This window comes from Homo sapiens, chromosome 4 (assembly GCF_000001405.40).
Source record: "Homo sapiens chromosome 4, GRCh38.p14 Primary Assembly".
In the NCBI taxonomy this organism is placed as follows: domain Eukaryota; kingdom Metazoa; phylum Chordata; class Mammalia; order Primates; family Hominidae; genus Homo; species Homo sapiens.
The window spans coordinates 101,783,119-101,801,734 of NC_000004.12; the positions used below are offsets into that span (position 1 = coordinate 101,783,119).

Consider the following 18,616-nt stretch of genomic DNA (forward strand, 5'->3'; position numbering starts at 1 on the left):
GGCTTACAGTTTATTACAAGAAGACTATATTAAACAAGTAAAAATAAACTATGTAAGTGGTGCTACTATAAAAACATCAATAATTACAGGGGATAGGAAAGTCACCAGAATAGGGGATCAGTTCATAGAATCTTGGATTTAGAGGCAAATCCACTGTTAAGCCCATGGAGGTAAGCCTTTAAGTTTCTGACAAATGTAATATAATAAAAATACAATGCTTAAATCAGGATTAATCTTACTAGTTCATTTCAGATTCACAAAGTGTCCACAAGTCTCAAACTTATCTATAGTATGATTCTAGTTAATCTGGACACCTATCAGAGAATGAGATCTCTTTTGTGTCTGTATGAGAATCAGGTAGCTAGGCCTCCTCCTGGGAAGAGCAGGCTTACTGGTTATATTTGTGTAGGAGGAATTACCCCGATCCTTGAGTAATAGGTACTTATGCAAAGGGTAAAAAAATGACAAGCTTATCTCACATGTCGGTTTTTCCTGTCTCCTTTAAGGTACTATTTCTGATTATTTTAAAAAGTGGCAGACAAGATAGAAATTGCAATCTATCAGTGACTGAAAACAGAGCCATTTTTACAAAGCATGAAAGGTATAAAAGAAGAAAACTCCCAACATAGTTGGTATTCGTCCATTCTACTTCAGAGTTTGAAGAGAAGGCTGAAGAAATAATTACCCCTTGCTAATTGTACTACAATATTGACAAAATATAGCAAATATTTTAAAAATAACGTGCCTTAAAAGTGTTCTACACAATACCTTTACCGATTTATCACACACACACTCACACACACACACAAACACACTAGTGTAGGTTAAAGTTCACTTGTAAAAAGAGTTTTGATGCATGAAGGGGCACTTGTCTTTTCCTGAATTGAGACTATTTGAGTGACTATATTTTAATTAATTTAAATTGTTCCTCAGTAAGGAACAGGGAACATTTCTCTTATTCTAAGGCCAGGCTAACTTCCATTTGTCCTGCCCTAACCTGCAAAGTATTGTATATAGTCCAGTACTTTCTCTATTATATTATCCCTTCTCTATTATAATATTGGAATACTCTATTACAATTACTTTATTACAATTGCTCTTTTTTGTCTTTTTTTAAAAACTCTAAGGATAAAAACTGTGGTACATAGTAAATAATATTTCATTCCAGAATGGCTACATAATAATCTCTCATAATTTTTTTTAAATATTTACTTTTTAAAAATATTGTAGTACAATTTCATGGCAAGTATTCACTGAGTCTATATATTGAGATTCATTTATTTTCAAGTGGAATTTTTACTGTGTCTAATGATTATACCATTAAGGTTTCATTATAAATTATGTCTTTTAGTGCATAAAATGTCCATCTTTTAAATGCCATTATTAGAATATTATACACATAGAAGATGCTCGGTAAATATTTACAGAGTAAAAACTTTTGTTTTTAATCTTACATTTCTAAATTTCTTTTCTATTACTTTTAAGTATTATTTTTAGTTTGTTCCAACATTTTTTCAACAGGAAACAAATGTAACACAATTTATACAAAGTATATTCAATGCCACTCATGAAATTAAATGTTTTCTAGATCCCTCAGCAGAATTTTTCAAAGTACTCTTCCACTCACCTTTGTGCCATTAGACAAATTCACCATACCCCTCAATTTCTCTGTATTTTTACCTATTCAAGCTATCACCTAAGAGGTAGCTAGACTTATAAGCTAAACTCTTATTTATCCTTCAATGTAATTTTAAACATCCTTCTCCTATGCACATTTGACCTAGACTCAGAAAGACATCACCCCTAAGTAATGTCTTCTCTTTCCTTCAAGCACATACATGATGTTTCTGGTACCAAGATCTTTATGAAGAAGTACTTTTCATTGGTCCCAATAAAGATGGCCTGAGCATTCCTCAATGGCTCAGCATCCATGAACTCTAAACAATGTCTTGAAACAGGGTATAGAGCCTGAGCCACTGAGAGCCCTCTATCCTGAAATCTTATGATGGCTTACTAGGGCAGCAGGAGCTTTCCATAGGTGTCCTCTTCAAAAGACTAATTGTTACCACACAGCTGGTCCCTCAGAGGGTGGGGAATGCACTGTAAACTAGCCACAGGAAAGGAGCAAGAGAAGCATTCAGAAGATCTGCAGGAGATGCTATTTTCTTGGCATTGGTTTTTTGTTTCAAACATTTCTGTAATTTGTTTTCAGTGAGAATTTTCACCATAAAAATGTCGCTTTCTGCTTGTATTTCCTTTCTTAGTGCTTTGGAAAAGTGTTCATTATGCTAACTGCATTTTCTTCTCTGAATGGGTGTTTCAGATAGTGACTACAATAGCTTTTGTTTTTCAGGTCATAGTTCACTATGATTTGAAAAGAAACTAACTTCACTTGCCTCAAGTAAATGTCTGCATTTTTTTTCTCCTAAACTATTAACAGGCTACTCACTACCCTATGAAATTATGAGGTAGATATTCTATATTCTCTTCCAATTCTTAGATCATGTCAAGAGGTACAGTTCTTGGAACCTGCCCTAAGCACAATAGTAGCTAGTTACATCACTGACTGAAACACATTATCTTTGTTTCTCTTCCTGTTGAAATTTTTCTCCAACCGCTTCCTGTTGCTATCTTCTGGTTCCAAACACTCCCACTTTCAATGTTTCTTTAGTATGAATTATTTATAATGGAACCTGCCCTAACAATCACATTACTTACAAGAATATTCTTGATCCTTCTAATGGTCCAAAAGTATTTTTCATTTATCATAGAACTATTTAGTATTATTTTACCCTACACAATTTTCCACAAAAACTGAAGCAGAATTTCTAGAAGGAAGATACTTTTGGAAGCAAGGGCTATATCTTATTATCATTGTATGCTCAGTGCCCAACATATAGTAGGTATTTACTAAACTCTTTTTGAATGAATTAATGAATAATAAAAATATGAAGAGCAATGCTGTTTTATCAATCCTGTTGATGAATGAAGCTAATAAGTTTGGAATAGAGAGCTCTGTGTTATTATATGTTAGGTAAAGAGTGGGGCTGAAACTCTAATAAAATCAATAATTATAGGGTAAAAATGGAAGTAACTTACCATAGCTTACAAAAAACAACTAAAAAGAGAAATGGAGATTTTAGCTTTCTTGACATTCAAGTGTTTTATAGTATTGTCTGTTAAAAGTCAGATCTAGGCCGGGCGCGGTGGCTCACGCTTGTAATCCTAGCACTTTGGGAGGCCGAGGCGGGTGGATCACGAGATCAGCAGATCGAGACCATCCTGGCTAACACGGTGAAACCCCGTCTCTACTAAACATACAAAAAATTAGCCGGGCATGGTGGCGGGCGCCTGTAGTCCCAGCTACTTGGGAGGCTGAAGCACGAGAATGACCTGAACCCGGGAGGCAGAGCTTGCAGTGAGCCGAGATTGCGCCACTGCACTCCAGCCTGGGCTACAGAGCGAGACTCCGCCTCAAAAAAAAAAAAAAAAAAAAAAAAAAAAGTCAGATCTACGGAGCAAGGTTCCTTCCAGCAAACTCACTGTTGCTTGTTAGCACAGCCAGGAGTCTAACTGGAGGGGCAGTGGTGGTGGTGTGTGCTATGGTATAAGCAGAAAACCTGCTTACTTCTACAAGTCAGACTCAATATACTTGAAAAGAGAAGAATCAGCACATTTATACAATCACTAGAGAACAAAAGCAAGTATATAATGCAAACAGCCATGCAGGAAGGAATATCAAATAGCTACCACAATCACCAATTAACAATGAGATATTGCTCCATGGGGACTTAGAACATGAATGGTGAAGGGAATTAAATGTTCTTTAATGTATGTTTAGTTAGAAGAATGCACAAAGATTTACCCTATTAATGAATCTTCCTCCAAACTCATCACTGTGAATTATGTGTTAGCTTCCTATCACCATAAATTAACGTATTAGCTAGCTACTGCTGCAACGCATTACTACAATTTAGTGGCTTAAAGCAAACTAAATTTATTATATTAGAATTATAGATGTAATAAGTCCAAAATCAGTCTCACTTGGCTAAAAGCCAAGATGTCAACAGGGCTGGTTCCTTCTGTAGGCTCTGCAGGAGAATTCATTTCTTTGCCTTTAGGCTACCTGTATTCCTTGGCTTGTGGCCCCTTCCTCCATATTCTAAGCATATTCCTCCAATCTCTGTTTTCTCATCACACCTCCTCTCTAACTTTCACTTTTCTGCCCCCATCTTATAAAGACTCTTGTGATTACACTGGGCCCACCTGGATAATCCAAGATAATCTTCCCATCTCAAGATCCTTAATTTAATTCCACCTTCCAGGTAAATACATATATACACAGGTTCTGCAGATGAGAATGTGGACCTCTTTGGGGGGTTGCTACACAGATTAGTATTAAAGAATTCAATTAAATGTGAGGAAGCAAAAGAAAATAAAGCCTCCCAGTAATGACAAAAAAAAATTGCTAAAAATTCCTTCAGACATCCCTGGTATTTGGTTTAGTTTTGAGGGAGTAAATAAGAAGTGTAGTTAACACCCTGGGGGAATAATATAATTCAATGTCTAAAAATCCAGACATGATTGTCAAGAGGAATATTCCCCAATTAACAAATAGCCATGAAGAAGCAACTATTTCACTTTTACAATAGATTACTGCTTTAGAAAAGAACCAGTTTTGTTCTTTAAACATATCCAGAATCTAAAGGCAGAAATAAAGCCATTAGCATGCACAACAGCATCTGGTCTGCAAAGGACACAAGAAATCAGCCATGGCAACTGCAGGGCAACACCAAACAGCTTTAGCTGTCCATTTATTGGAACACAGGGCCAGTGTGAGGCTTTTATAATCTTCACAGAGTGGGGTAATAATATTGAGGCTGTCAATATGCCGCTAAAAAAAATAATGCAAGGGAAGAAGTCAATGGATCCAAGAGTTTGATATATTGAGAAATGAGAAACCTACTGTGACTAGCATTTTCTTGTCATTCTGTAACAGAGGTAAAATCAGAAACCTGCGATTACACACTGCTGGTGGTATTTTGCCTGAAAAAGCCTCTCGGTGTGAGAATTGCTAAGTGCCTCTTTCCTGAGAACAAGTATGAACCAAGAGATAACCCAACATTCCAGATGGTATCATCTCCTTAAGGGAGAAAGCAGGGGAAAAATAAAGTCAACTGTGATTAAAGACGTACTTGACACAGAAACAAGACCAAAATGAGTAAAAAATCTTTTAAAATATATTTTTATAAATGCATCAGCAAAGTATGAAAACATGTAGACTTAAGTTATCACGTGTATGTGTGTGTGTGCGCGTGTGTGAACATCTATATATCCTCAACCAAATAGCACCAAAATTGTAATAAATTATAAGTACAGTTCATACCTATTTTTAAGGATATTAGTATTTAATTGTATGGGCTTATAGTTCTGTGGAAAAGTGGATAGGGAAACAAAAAACGTTTTCAACACATATATGTATAACCTATCCTATTATGTTCATGTAATCTTTAGCAAGGGCCTTATGTGACCTTAAAAGGAAGCGGTGGGGAGGGGGGCAGTTATAATTAAGAGGGCAGGCTATGAAATCAGATCTAGGATTGAATTCCAGCTCTGCCACTTACAGTTTTCAACGCCCAGATTCTTCATTTGTAAAATATGGTTAAACCTTCCTTGTTTTGAGAACCAAATGACATGAATATTGTGAAACTCTTACATAGAACATAGGATATAGAATACTTAAAAAAAGAGTAGTTGTTGACTGCAAACAGTAAAACAAAAGAATAAATAAGTCAGTCAATGGGGTAGTCAATGGCTATTTTCTTATTCAAAAGAAAAGTGAAGCTAGAATAATTTTAATGGGAGATTTTAAAGATTTTCTAACACATAATCTTATTTTTTTTAAAAAAAAAACAGCCCACAATTTTCAGCAGTTTTTACTTTCTTTTTTCTATTTACTAGCATCATTTGACATAAGTAGTGGAAATGAGCTTCTGAAAATATACTTAATTTTCATATTATAAATCTTATTTTCTATAGTTTTATTAGGAGACAGTGTTATAACATTTTATATCTGGCAGAAACTCGAATACAGTAATTTTAATTTATTCATTAATAATGAATAAATTAGATGAGATACGCAAGGCTCAGAAATATTAAGAATTGCTCCAAACACCCAGATATTGTGGAGCAGAGTCAGGATGGCAGCTGCAACCTTCTGACTTCCAATCCAGGGCTCTTCATACAAGAAGGCTGTCCTGTATATGTGACAGATACAAGTTCCTATCTGAACACTGTCTTTATTAACAAGTTTTCGTGTGCATAAATGGGTGCCTTTGAAGATCTGGATACTTAATTGGGGAGCATCATCTGGAGTGTTCATGTTGGCTAAAGTAGCTCTTGTCAGGAATACGTATACCAGCAGATGCATCAGTTAGAATATTCTTTTCTCCAATGGGTTTAAGACATACTTTCCTAAGAATTGAGTTTCTGAAACACTGAACAACACCCAAACCCTGCAATCCAAATTTGTTTTTGCCTATTACACTGAAGTCTCTCTGTTAACAGGCATATATAGAAGACAACCATTTTTTTCAATATAATATTTCATAAGTTAGATGAAATCTTTTGTTCCATTATATAAAGTTCAGAAAATCAACATAAAATTAATAATGATGTTAAAGAAACTACTGGAAACCAGATAAATACAATACAATCTATAATTGTTTTCAAGTTTTTTGGACATTTCGCATACTTCTCCAAGTTTTCTACATTATGTTATAAAGTTCTAATAAGTTCATTTATGTGAAAAAATTAACTTTTTTTGATACTTGATATTTATATTATTACTAAAAAGCACTTCATCCGAGAGAAAGTTTCAAAGAAAGCCTTCCTTTTATAGGAAGAGGAGAGGAACATTTAAACTATGTATTATTACCAAATTGATATTCAAAAAATATATTCAACTTCAAAAGGCAAATGACTAGTTTAGACATGCTTGAGAGAGAGACATTCACTTTAAGGTTCTGGGACAACTCCTTTGATATATCTCCATCTTAAAAACAAGCAAACAAACTCTTGTTTGGAGAGGGTATTTAGAGCCATAAATAATTTTTTACTGGGTCTATTTTTGAGTTGGAGCAGGAGTAAGAAATACATTTTATATGGAATTTTAAATCACTTTTCAATTTATGAACCTAGCCTAGAAAGTCTGTGTAAAATGAAATATTTTAAAAGTTACAGTATTATCTGTATCTTCATTTCTATATGTATGTATCTATCATCTGTGTACCTACTCATCTATCTATCTAATTATTCTTTCTTTCCAGCAAATGTTCACTTCTGGTTTCCCTACGTCTGCCTGGAAGTGGGGGCAGTATGGCAGTATGGAAGACCTAGAAAGGGACAAGGAGAGCTACAATAACAGCGGTCTAAATATATCCTAGGATGAAAAGGTGAGGAAGGAAACAGGCGCAGAAGTGTTATAAGAAACCAAAGCGGCCTTTTGAGAAGGGATGTAAGAGCAGGCCCCTGAGCAGTTTCACTTCCTCTGGGCGCCCAGCAGAGCGGAGCCCTGGCCTTGCGGGCATGAGCCCCGGGGCTGCGTTTCCTGAGACCTGGCCGCAGCCTCCGCGGGTGGCAAGCGGGCTGGGGAGAGCCGAGGGCCAAAGGAAGAGAAAATCGCGGGGAGTCTCTGGCCGGGAGAGTCCAGGTAGCGCTCGGCGGGCAGCAGTGCGCAGGCCCCTCGGCTTCAACCGCCACAATGCTGCCAGCAGCGCCAGGCAAGGGGCTTGGGAGCCCGGACCCCGCCCCCTGCGGCCCAGCGCCCCCAGGTGGGTAGTCGCGCATTCGGAGGGGCTTGACGCCGAGGCCGGGCTACGGGGCTCTGCGGAGACCACGGGCCATCGTTAGACAACTGCACTCGGGCACTGAGGCCAGGGCGTCCCTGAGACAGGGCTTCTCCTTTTTATCCTGCCGCCAGGCAGCCCAGAGGGTTCTTCTGTCCCTGACTTCTCTGAGGGGCATCTGGACGCCACGAGGAGGGAGCGCGCTGGGAGTTCTGGCCAGCGGGCTACCCTCAGTGTCTGCAACTTCTGAGGAGCTGGAACTTTCCCCAGCACCCGGGTCAGGGTCCTGTAGTTTCTAAAATCACTTTGCAACCTGTTTTAAAGCAATGCGCGTTTAAAATTATACGTAATTATTTTCAACAGTCGGTAAGCACAGAAAAACCGCTCATGTGTAGCGTCACGCATTTACCTGCCCGGCCTGACAAATCCCAGCCTGGTGAATTGGTAGCCCTGCTTCTTGGCAGGTGGCTTTGCAGAGAAACTCTACCAACACCACCTCCCTACTCCACTGGCTTTACTAACTTGGTCAAAGGAAAACGGTCAACTTGGTTGAATGCAGAAGTAGATTTATATTTTCAAATGGACGTTAAGGCAGTTTTATTTAGTTCTTTTTGAAGCATTTCAAATGCATTTGCAAATTACTCAGTGATATAAAAATGTTTTTTAAATTAAAAAACTTCACTTAGGTATTAATATTACTGGAGTGTTCGTGGTGAGAAATGCAACAAGAAAGTATATTCTGAGTGAAAGTTTCTTAATTTGCTGAATAGAAATAAATTTCTCATACCTTTCTAGAATTTTTTAGGTAATGTAATTTTGGTTGTAGCTATTTCTGTTGGCTAGTGCATTTTTACATAAATAAGCTTTAGGGATTGCTTTCAGTTAAATAAGAAGTATATTTGTGTCAATGAAAAGTGACAAGAAAGGACTTAGAGCCCATAACTTAATATTATTAATATTTTAACTATTGCATATTGACATTCTTGAAAACTGTGGCTCTGATGGTCTTCAGCAGAGCAGACTTTGCTAGCATCTATAAATAAACCAACCATGTCTTTCAAACTTTGAGCAGGTTACCTCTTTTGTAATTTCAGTTTAACAATTTTGTTAGAGAATGGGGTACAGTTTGTTTCAAACTTCTAGATTAAACAGTTTAGGCAGAAAATGCCTTTTATTTCACTTGATACTAAGCAATACTTTGAGGCACTTGCTATTGTGAATAATGCAAGAGTAATGTGAATCAATATTTATAGCATTCCAATTATTCTTGTTCCTCCCATGCATTCCGCTCCCCCCCCGCCCCGCCCCTCCCAACTCCTTGGGTCCTTCTCCATGCAGTATTTATCACTTGCTTCAGTTACTTCCTTTTCTGGCCAACATAATGAAACTTTTCTAAAAACGAATTGTCTTTTGACATTATCCCATGCCCATATTCTTGATATGAGTAATCTTCTAGCTTTTATAAATCCAGTGGTTTGTGTGTGTGTGTGTGTGTGTGTGTGTGTTTTTTTTTTTTTAATGAAGAGCTCCCTCTCTCTCCAACAACTATCTTAATATGGCACATTGGGGGTCAATTGGTCCAACTGCCTCATTTAGAGAAGAGAGCACTGAGATCCAGAGTGTGAGTTGCTCATGGTTTCATAACTAGTAATTATTTGAAGGTCACCCATTCATTAACTTAACAAACTTTTATTCCCTGCCAAGAGTCATGTAGTAGTAATAAGAATGTAAAATGGTAAACACAGTTTCATGCCCAGGAAGGTATATTTCTAGCAGGAGATAGAATGTACTGCTAGACAACATTAGTGTATACTGCCATCAGAGATTTATTAACTGTTGAGTATCGACTTGTTCTTTAATGGAAGCAAGAAAAATAGAATACCCAGTTCTCTAAAACAAGGTAAAAATGATGCACAATGGGTGAAAGTTCTAGTTAGAATGTATTTTCTGGTTTGTATTTAACTATATATTACTATCAATGTCCAAAAGAGAGATTCTTCCTGTTGTATTCCAAAACTAATGATTTTAAAAATTTAATTTTAACTGCTGTTTTAATTAGGGAGTGATTATTTATTAAATCACAGATTTTTCTCCACACCATAGTTTTTTTTAAATTTTTATTGATATTATTGGATGCATCTGATGAAACTTTAATAAATGATTTGCTTAAGAACAGAAAGCATGAAAGGGTGGAATTAGCATTTAGACTGTTTCACCTTACGCTGGATGCTTATACTTGTAAGGAACATGGTTTGTCTAGGTCTCTGCTCTCTAGCTTGAAGTTCTTAAAGATTTGAAGCTTTTTGCTTTGACTGCAATCTTCCAACATAGCCAACGTCCTACACTTGTTCCACTAAGGAAATAACCTGGTTCCATGCTGGTGGCTGGAAAAACTTGCTTTCTTCAGACCAATCTGGAAATGTTCTGATAAGGTCACTTTTGCTAGGATTTTAAAGACAAGGAGTGCTTTCAGGATATCTTCACCATAATAAGGAATAATTCTGAAAAATGCAATTGCTGAAGATTTCAAGGTTAAATATCAGCATATTCAAAGTTACACTTGGGACAGTAGAGGAACCTTTTCTGCAATATCTATCTGAGGATGTATTGTAGGTGGTTATGCCCTACTTATGATGGTCTTTTGACTCATACTGCCTCAGATCTAGTCCCAGCTTCATTGCCTGTCTCATCTGTGACCTTGAATAAATAATGAAATCTGTCACTGTCTTAGTTTTTTATTTTGTTTATTAAAAAGCAAAATCCAAGAGAAGAAATCCTGTATATGAAAGTTGTTTAGGGGATTAAATGGGTAAATGCAGGTGAAGTCCTTTTCAGGGTCTTATAACAAATAGTAACTGCTTTATACATGCTAGTTGTTATATTAATTCTTAGGTCATTGATCAGTAGTGTCATATTAGCTTATATAAGAGTGGGAGTTCTTAGTGAAAAACTGCCTCATACTGATTGCCTCATACTGACTTGAAGGACAACTTGATGGGTGAAGGAATCAAGCTCTCGTATCAAAAAAAATAGGAGATATGGCCTCTTGTATAAAGATACTGCAATATCCTTGGGGATATATTGTGGTTAATAGTTCTGAAAGGAGAAAAGAATTCATAATGAGAAGAACTAAGGATAGGTTGATTAAAAGGGAATTAAACTATAGCAGTTGCAGGAAAGAATAAAGAAGGAATTTAATAGGACAAAATGAGAGCGTGCTCTGTTTTCTCATATCTCAGAGTACCAGTTGTGACTCAGTTTACATAATATATAAATATATTTGAAAAAAATAAGCATCAAACAGAAAAACTGTGGAGTATTTCAACTTACAAGAAGATGAGAATCTATTTTACCAAAATATTTACTACTGGGTTAAAACAAAATTACAATATAAAATGAGGAACATCATTCCTGACAAAAATAAATGACATGTTTTAAGAGTTTAAATGGTTGTTGCTTAATCACCTAAGTTACACTTATTAATTTACTGCTTTCTTCATAGAATATAGAGTATCTTGCAGTAATTTTGGAGATAGCTATGAAATAAGAATAGAAAAGGCAAACATTTCATAAGTCATCATTTAAAAAGTAAGTTATTATTTGGCCTTGTAATCCTTTCCTTTCCTGTTTTAAATATAAAGAATGGTATCTAAGTTTTAGTGCAGACATTGAAATAGTCCCAGTGGTGGAAATATCAGATATCATATGGAATTATACCCCTGCAGTAATTAGTTTTTAGTCAGAGAAAAACAATGAGCCTTTTAGGCATTTACCCCTGAATTGAAATCTCTTTGTTGTTTCTAAGTGTTCTGCACTGAAATAATCCAGAAAGATGACTTCCCTCTTTAATCATGAAGAGTAATTAATCAATGCTTTTGATCTTTTACAAGATTTCCTTTATATCTGGTTCATTAAAATATGTTTTTATGTTTCATCATACTATGTGTCATATCTTTGTTTCTTCTAAGTGTCTCTGCCATTTTCCCATATTATTAATTCCCATTGCCTTGTTTTCACATGTGTTCTACATTATAGAGACACACTGAAAAGTATAAGAACAGTCTCTGACTTGGAATTCCATTTACTATATGCCTCATTTTTTTTTTCATCTGATACATGCTGAGAATAAAGCCTCCTTTGGTCGGGAACAATATTCTCATTCCTTTTTTGTTACAGGATCATGTCTAATTTTCAGAGGAATAATATAGTGTCAAGACCACTTGAAATTTTAGCCTTCTTGTAATAGCTTCCGTTTATTGTGTTTCTACTTTGAATTCATATGAAATGGGAATCATACTAGTTGATAAGTAAGGGTGTCAGAAGAGTAGTGTCTACTCTGGACAACAAGTCATATTGTTCAGTATAGTCATATGAAAATATTTAATAATTCACTGTGTTCTTTTATCTATGGAGGCTTTTCTAAACTGTTAAAGGTGAAACTTTTAAGTCACCATGTTTTTTTTTCTAGGATGGGGAGTGGAGAAACACAAAAGGGCATGATTCTATAAAATCATTGAAATGGCAATTGTAGAATATTTATTGTTACTGTCTGAAGAATCTCTAAGGTTACACATTTTCTATTGATTGCATTTTATTTAGATTTAATATATTGATACAGTTTAAAATATTGGGAGAGGAGTGTGTTTTTAGTACAGTTAGTAAATTATTAGGTCACTATTGTAAAAAAGTGAGTGACATAAAATTGAGGCAAAATCTACTCTGGTTTCAATTAATGGGATAATTTCTTTAATTCTCTCATGATTTCTCAGTAAAAATGTAGAACTTTCACTACTTTAAGTACTTATTTGTAGGTCAGAGACCTTTCCTTTATCACTTCCTATAGATCCACAGCCATGTAAATCAAGTAGAATGAGGACAATTATTCAGATTCCCAGAAACAGTCACCTGGGCCAAGAATAGGCACATGATGCAAGCCAGCCAACTGGTTGCTTAATGGCCAGTGCCCTGTGTTGTCAGGCTTATACAGAGTTGTTGAATCTGTGTAAGTATAAGCCACATATATCATCTGTATAAGCCACAAAGTCCTTTTGTCTTATTAAATGAAAGAATAAAGATTCTTATCAGTAGAAGATTGATGAAAGATGAGATTATTGTCAGTGGAAGATCCAGTATACAGTTTAAGATGACAGTTAGTTGCCTCATGTTTAAGATGCATAAGTAGAAAGAAACTGTGATGAAAAAACTGAGGAGACCGAAAGACAAAGAGAGTAGTCTCAATTTCTGATTTCTAGTGACGGAGCAGCTGCACTTGTTTTTCTGATCTTATTTGCCCATGAAATTGTTTATAGTATCCTTACATGAATTTCTCCTTACATGAACTACTTTGAGTGAATTTCTCTTTTTGGGAGGAAAAAAAAAGTTTGGGCTAGCATACCTTTATTTATCAAAAACTGCCAGCTATCAGCTTCTCTTTTCAAAAGTTGTTATTGTTAAAATGATGTCTTCTACGTATCTTCCATTGAAAATTAAACAATCTGAGAATGAAATCTGTTCCTTTCATGCACTAGGAATAGAGTATGAGTAAGTCTGGTGGTCCTGCAGATGAGCATATTTCGAGAGTCCTGCCTTTATTAGTGAAATTTGAAGAAAGTCCATGCATTTATTTTTAGGTTTTCAAACTTAAATCCTTAGAGCTGGAGAGAAAATAATTCACCCAAAGGTTAGTATTATAAGAATTAAGCACTGTTAAAAGGTTTAGAGCTTTGAATTATGTAGCTATAGATTTATAACAACAACGTTTTCCCATGTTTTGTTAACAGGATATTTTTACTTATCTGAAAATTTTATAGCATACTGTTTCTGGCAAGTTTTTAATATACATTTCAATTGAGGCATACATTAGTGAGAGAATGGTTGGGGCATTTATCTTAGTAAATGTCACAAAACATATTTACTTAGTAAAACAGGAAGTAAAAGAGTAAGATGAGATATAAAACTAGGGATTATCTTCAACTCCTCTGGTATATGAAGAAATATGGCACCATTAACAGGCCATTAATAAAACTTTATATACAATCTCAGTGGATTAATATCAGTATGAAGCAATACAATACTGTGTTTTAGAGATTAGTCTTTTACCAGCCTATTTTTCTGCAATGGAGTAGAAAGTATAGTATCTCCATTAAGTTATACATAGTGTGTTATTAATGTTCACCTTAGAAAACAAGAATTCAATGTGTTCTTGCTAAACTTCAGTGACAGGAACAAATTAATAAAGTTCAGATGTGATCAATTAAGTCCAATGATGTCAGTGAAGAAATGAGACACAGAAAGACAAAATTTTTTCAAGATGTGACAAGGTTACACTCACAATGTTATTATAATGAGTGAGGAGAAGAATCTGAAAAGTAAACCAAAACCTAATTGCATAAATTTGTGTAAAAAATTCCCCAAGTATAATGAGGAGCTCTTGAAGAGTTTTTAATGAGGGATGGCACATGATTAGATTTTGTGTTAGAAGATCACATGAGCTGCTCTTGATACAATTAATTGGAAAAGGGCAGCAATGGAAGTTAGTGAACAATTAGGGGTTTGCAATGAGTAAAAATACAGGGAGAAGTGGACAGATTTATTAAGAACTATTACTTACATACCTTTTGTGATATAGTAGATTTGGAGTCTGAAGGGGACAAAAATGTGAAGAATGACACCAAGGGTTGTGGTCTGTAAACCTAAGAGAATCAAGAATGTGTCATTTACTCCATTGGAAAGGAGTGAAGGAACAAGAGGACACCGGGAGGGCATGAGAGAATGTCATTTCAATTTCAGATCTGTTACATTTGAGGAGCATGAGAAATAGTCACATTAAGATGTCAAGTAAGCAGTTCGATTTTAGGATCTGGATATCAGAAAGGCAGTTCAGACTGGAGATATAAAATTAAGAAAAACATTGTATTTAAAACTACAACAATGAATAGGATAACATAGATAAGGTGACTCAGGATAGAGACCTGTGGAAAACAAACATTTCAGTGTTGGTAGAGAAGGAGGAGTTGCTCAATATGACTGAGGAGAGGCTAAAAAGAAGGAAAACGAAGATACAGTGAGAAGAATTCAAAAATAGAATGTTTCAGGAAGGTAAGAATGGTGAACTGGCCCAAATTCTTTTGATAGGTCAGGCAAATTGAAGCCTGAAATTTAGCCAATGGATTTGGCATCATGAAACTTACAGATGACCTTAGAGAAGTAAGTAGCTTTAGTAAAGAGGATGAGAGCTGAATGGGAATGAGTGGAAGAAGGTAAGGTGATGGAGGCCATGGAGACGCCCTTTAGAAATATGGCTGTCTGATAAGCAGCTGAAGATGTGGCATCAAGGAAAGGATTTTACTTTCATTGTTGCTTTAAGATCAGTGTCACGGCAGCAATTTAATTGTTCTCAAAAGCCGATGGCGTCACACCAAAGGGGGGTTTTCTGCTATGAAAACTTATAGAGAACAGCTCCATGAATTCCATTAGTAATACATTTTAATGTGTAGATTTTCTTATGTGTTTAAGAATTTCTGTCTCTTCAAATGGTATTTCTAGTTCTAGATCCTTGAGGAATCGCCATACTATCTTCCACAATGGTTGGACTAGTTTACAGTCCCACCAACAGTGTAAAAGTGTTCCTATTTCTCCATATCCTCTCCAGCATCTGTTGTTTCCTGACTTTTTAGTGATTGCTATTCTAACTGGTGTGAGATGGTATCTCACTGTGGTTTTGATTTGTATTTCTCTGATGGCCAATGATGATGAGCATTTTTTCATGTGTCTGTTGGCTGCATAAATGTATTCTTTTGAGAAGTGTGTGTTCATATCCTTTGCCCACTTTTTGATGGGGTTGTTTGATTTTTTCTTGTAAATTTGTGTAAGTTCTTTGTAGATTCTGGATATTAGCCCTTTGTCAGATGGGTAGATTGTAAAACTTTTCTCCCATTCTGTAGGTTGCCTGTTCACTCTGATGGTAGTTTCTTTTGCTGTGCAGAAGCTCTTTAGTTTAATTAGATCCCATTTGTCAATTTTGGCTTTTGTTGCCATTGCTTTTGGTGTTTTAGTCATGAAGTCCTTGCCCATGCCTATGTCCTGAATGGTATTGCCTAGGTTTTCTTCTCAGGTTTTTACGGTTTTAGGTCTAACATTTAAGTCTTTAATCCATCTTGAATTAATTTTTGTGTAAGGTGTAAGGAAGGGATCCAGTTTCAGCTCTCTATATATGGCTAGCCAGTTTTCCCAGCACCATTTATTAAATAGGGAATCCTTTCCCCATTTCTTGTTTTTGTCAGGTTTGTCAAAGATGAGATGGTTATAGATGTGTGGTATTATTTCTGAGGGCTCTGTTCTGTTCCATTGGTCTATATCTCTGTTTTGGTACCAGTACCATACTGTTTTGGTTACTGTAGCCTTGTAGTATAGTTTGAAGTCAGGTAGCATGATGCCTCCAATTTTGTTCTTTTGGCTTAGGATTGTCTTGGCAATGCAGGCTCTGGGTATATACCCAAAGGATTATAAATCATGCTGCTATAAAGACACATGCACACGTATGTTTATTGTGGCACTATTCACAATAGCAAAGACTTGGAACCAACCCAAATGTCCATTAATGACAGACCGGATTAAGAAAATTTGGTGGCCGGGCCTGGTGGCTCATGCCTGTAATCCCAGCACTTTGGGAGGCCAAGGTGGGCGGATCACGAGGTCAGGAGATCGAGGCCATCCTGGCTAACACGGTGAAACCCCATCTCTACTAAAAACACAAAAAATTAGCCGGGCGTGCTGGTGGGTGCCTGTAGTCCCAGCTACTTGGGAGGCTGAGGCAGGAGAATGGCATGAACCTGGGAGGCGGAGCTTGCAGTGAGCTGAGATCGCACCACTGCACTCCAGCCTGGGTGACAGAGTGAGATTCCATCTCAAAAATAAGTAAATAAATAAATAAAATAAAATAAGGAAAATGTTGCACGTATACACCATGGAATAATACTATGCAGCCATGAAAAGGATGAGTTCATGTCCTTTGTAGGGACATGGATGAAGCTGGAAACAATCATTCTGAGCAAACTATCACAAGGACAGAAAACTAAACACTGCATGTCCTCACTCATAGGTGGGAATTGAGCAATGAGAATACTTGGACGCAGGATGCGGAACATCACACACCAGGGTTTGTTGTTGGGTGGGGGGAGGGGGGAGGGATAGCATTAGGAGATATATCTAATGTAAATGACAAGTTAATGGGTGCAGCACACCAACATGGCACATGTATACATATGTAACAAACCTGCATGTTGTGCACATGTACCCTAGAACTTGAAGTATAATTTAAAAAAAAAAAGAAAAGAAAAAGAATTTCTGTCTCGTATTTTTCATTCCTTCTTCTATGTTTCTGGAGCTCCTCCTTCTCTTCTTCCCATTCCTCTCCTCTTTCCTTTTTTCTTTTTTTGTTTTTTTGGTATTGATCTTAATGGAGAATAAATAGTTGACACTTCTTTCTGTGAAAGCCTTGGTACAGTGTTGAATTATTCCTTAGCTTTACTTTCTATATATCATCCCTTCCTTTTTATCCATATTGGAATCCATTCATTCTCGTTAAAATCCTGTTTTTGCATTTGCTTAGTAGTTACTGTCACAACTACTTGATAAAGCTCTACTCCTGAATAAATCTTTCTGGCTCTATTCTTCCTGTGTGAATCTAAGAGACTGACTATTGCTAGATAAAAACACATTCAAACAGGTTGGTAATATAAATTTAGGCAATTCTTGTTACACGTTACTTGTTTCAGACAAGATTTGTTTTTAAATTTTTCAAATTTTTTGAGATGGTTTCTCGCTCTTGTCACCCAGCCTGGAGTGCAATGGTACAATCTCAGCTCACTGCAAACTCCACCTCCTGGGTTCAAGCGATTCTCCTGCTTCAGCCTCTCAGATAGCTGGGATTACAGGCGGCTGCCAACACACCTGGCTAACTTTTGTATTTTTAGTAGAGACGGGGTTTCACCATTTTGGCCAGGCTGGTCTTGAACTCCTGACCTTAGATGATCCACCTGCCTTGGCCTCCCAAGGTGCGGATGTTTCTGTCATGTCAGATTGCTATAATCTTACATGTTTTCTATATTCTGATGGGCAAAAAACTGTATGCTTTGCTACCTAACACTGTACCCTCTAGACATGTGGCTGTTGAGGACTTAAAATATGTCTGGTTCAAATTGTGATGTGCTGTAAATGTAAAATGCACACCAGTTTTCAAAGACTGAGCACAAAAAATAGAATGTAAAATCTCTCAAGAATGTTTATATTAATTGCATGTTAAGATGATACTATTTTGAATTTATTTGATGAAATAAAATTAGTATTATTGTAATTAACTTACTTTTTATTTGTTGCAATATGGTTGCTAAAAACATTAAAATGACATATGTGCCGTGCATTTGTGATTTGAATTAAATTTTCTGTTAGATAGCAATGCACTCAGCTTTCAGAAAAAAAATTCCAATGAAATAAATTAGAAATTTTATTTCTCTCTCATGACATATTGTTGAATATGTATTATGAGATTACTCTCATAAAAATGTGAGCAAAATTCACAGTTCCTCCAGCAGTTGAGAGAGAACCTCTGTCTATTCATGCTCACCACACAAGGCATTTTCATAGTGATATTTTGCTACTATTTTAATTAGCATTTGTCTCTTGAAATTGAGTGTTTTTCATATATTTCTTTGGCATTTTGATTTCATCTGTGTGTTATATATTCACATGATTTATTCATATTTCTCTTG

At 36.2% G+C, this 18,616-nt stretch overlaps 1 protein-coding gene across 2 annotated transcripts in view, besides 1 other annotated feature; it reads left to right on the top strand.

Annotated features, from left to right (window-relative positions):
- The window catches only part of BANK1 (B cell scaffold protein with ankyrin repeats 1), a 284,083-nt gene continuing 273,078 nt past the window's right edge, over positions 7,612–18,616 (top strand). For both annotated transcript variants that reach the window (NM_017935.5, NM_001127507.3), the window contains exon 1: positions 7,612–7,832. In NM_017935.5, the coding sequence (NP_060405.5) occupies positions 7,763–7,832 (70 nt within the window). In that variant the 5' untranslated portion in view covers positions 7,612–7,762. The remainder of the gene's footprint in view (positions 7,833–18,616) is intronic.
- Positions 7,699–7,888: a silencer, noted in NCBI's record as "silent region_15594". NCBI's record gives its function as "represses an Ori minimal core promoter by ATAC-STARR-seq in GM12878 lymphoblastoid cells {active_cell/tissue: GM12878}" and the evidence as "EXISTENCE:reporter gene assay evidence [ECO:0000049][PMID:35858748]".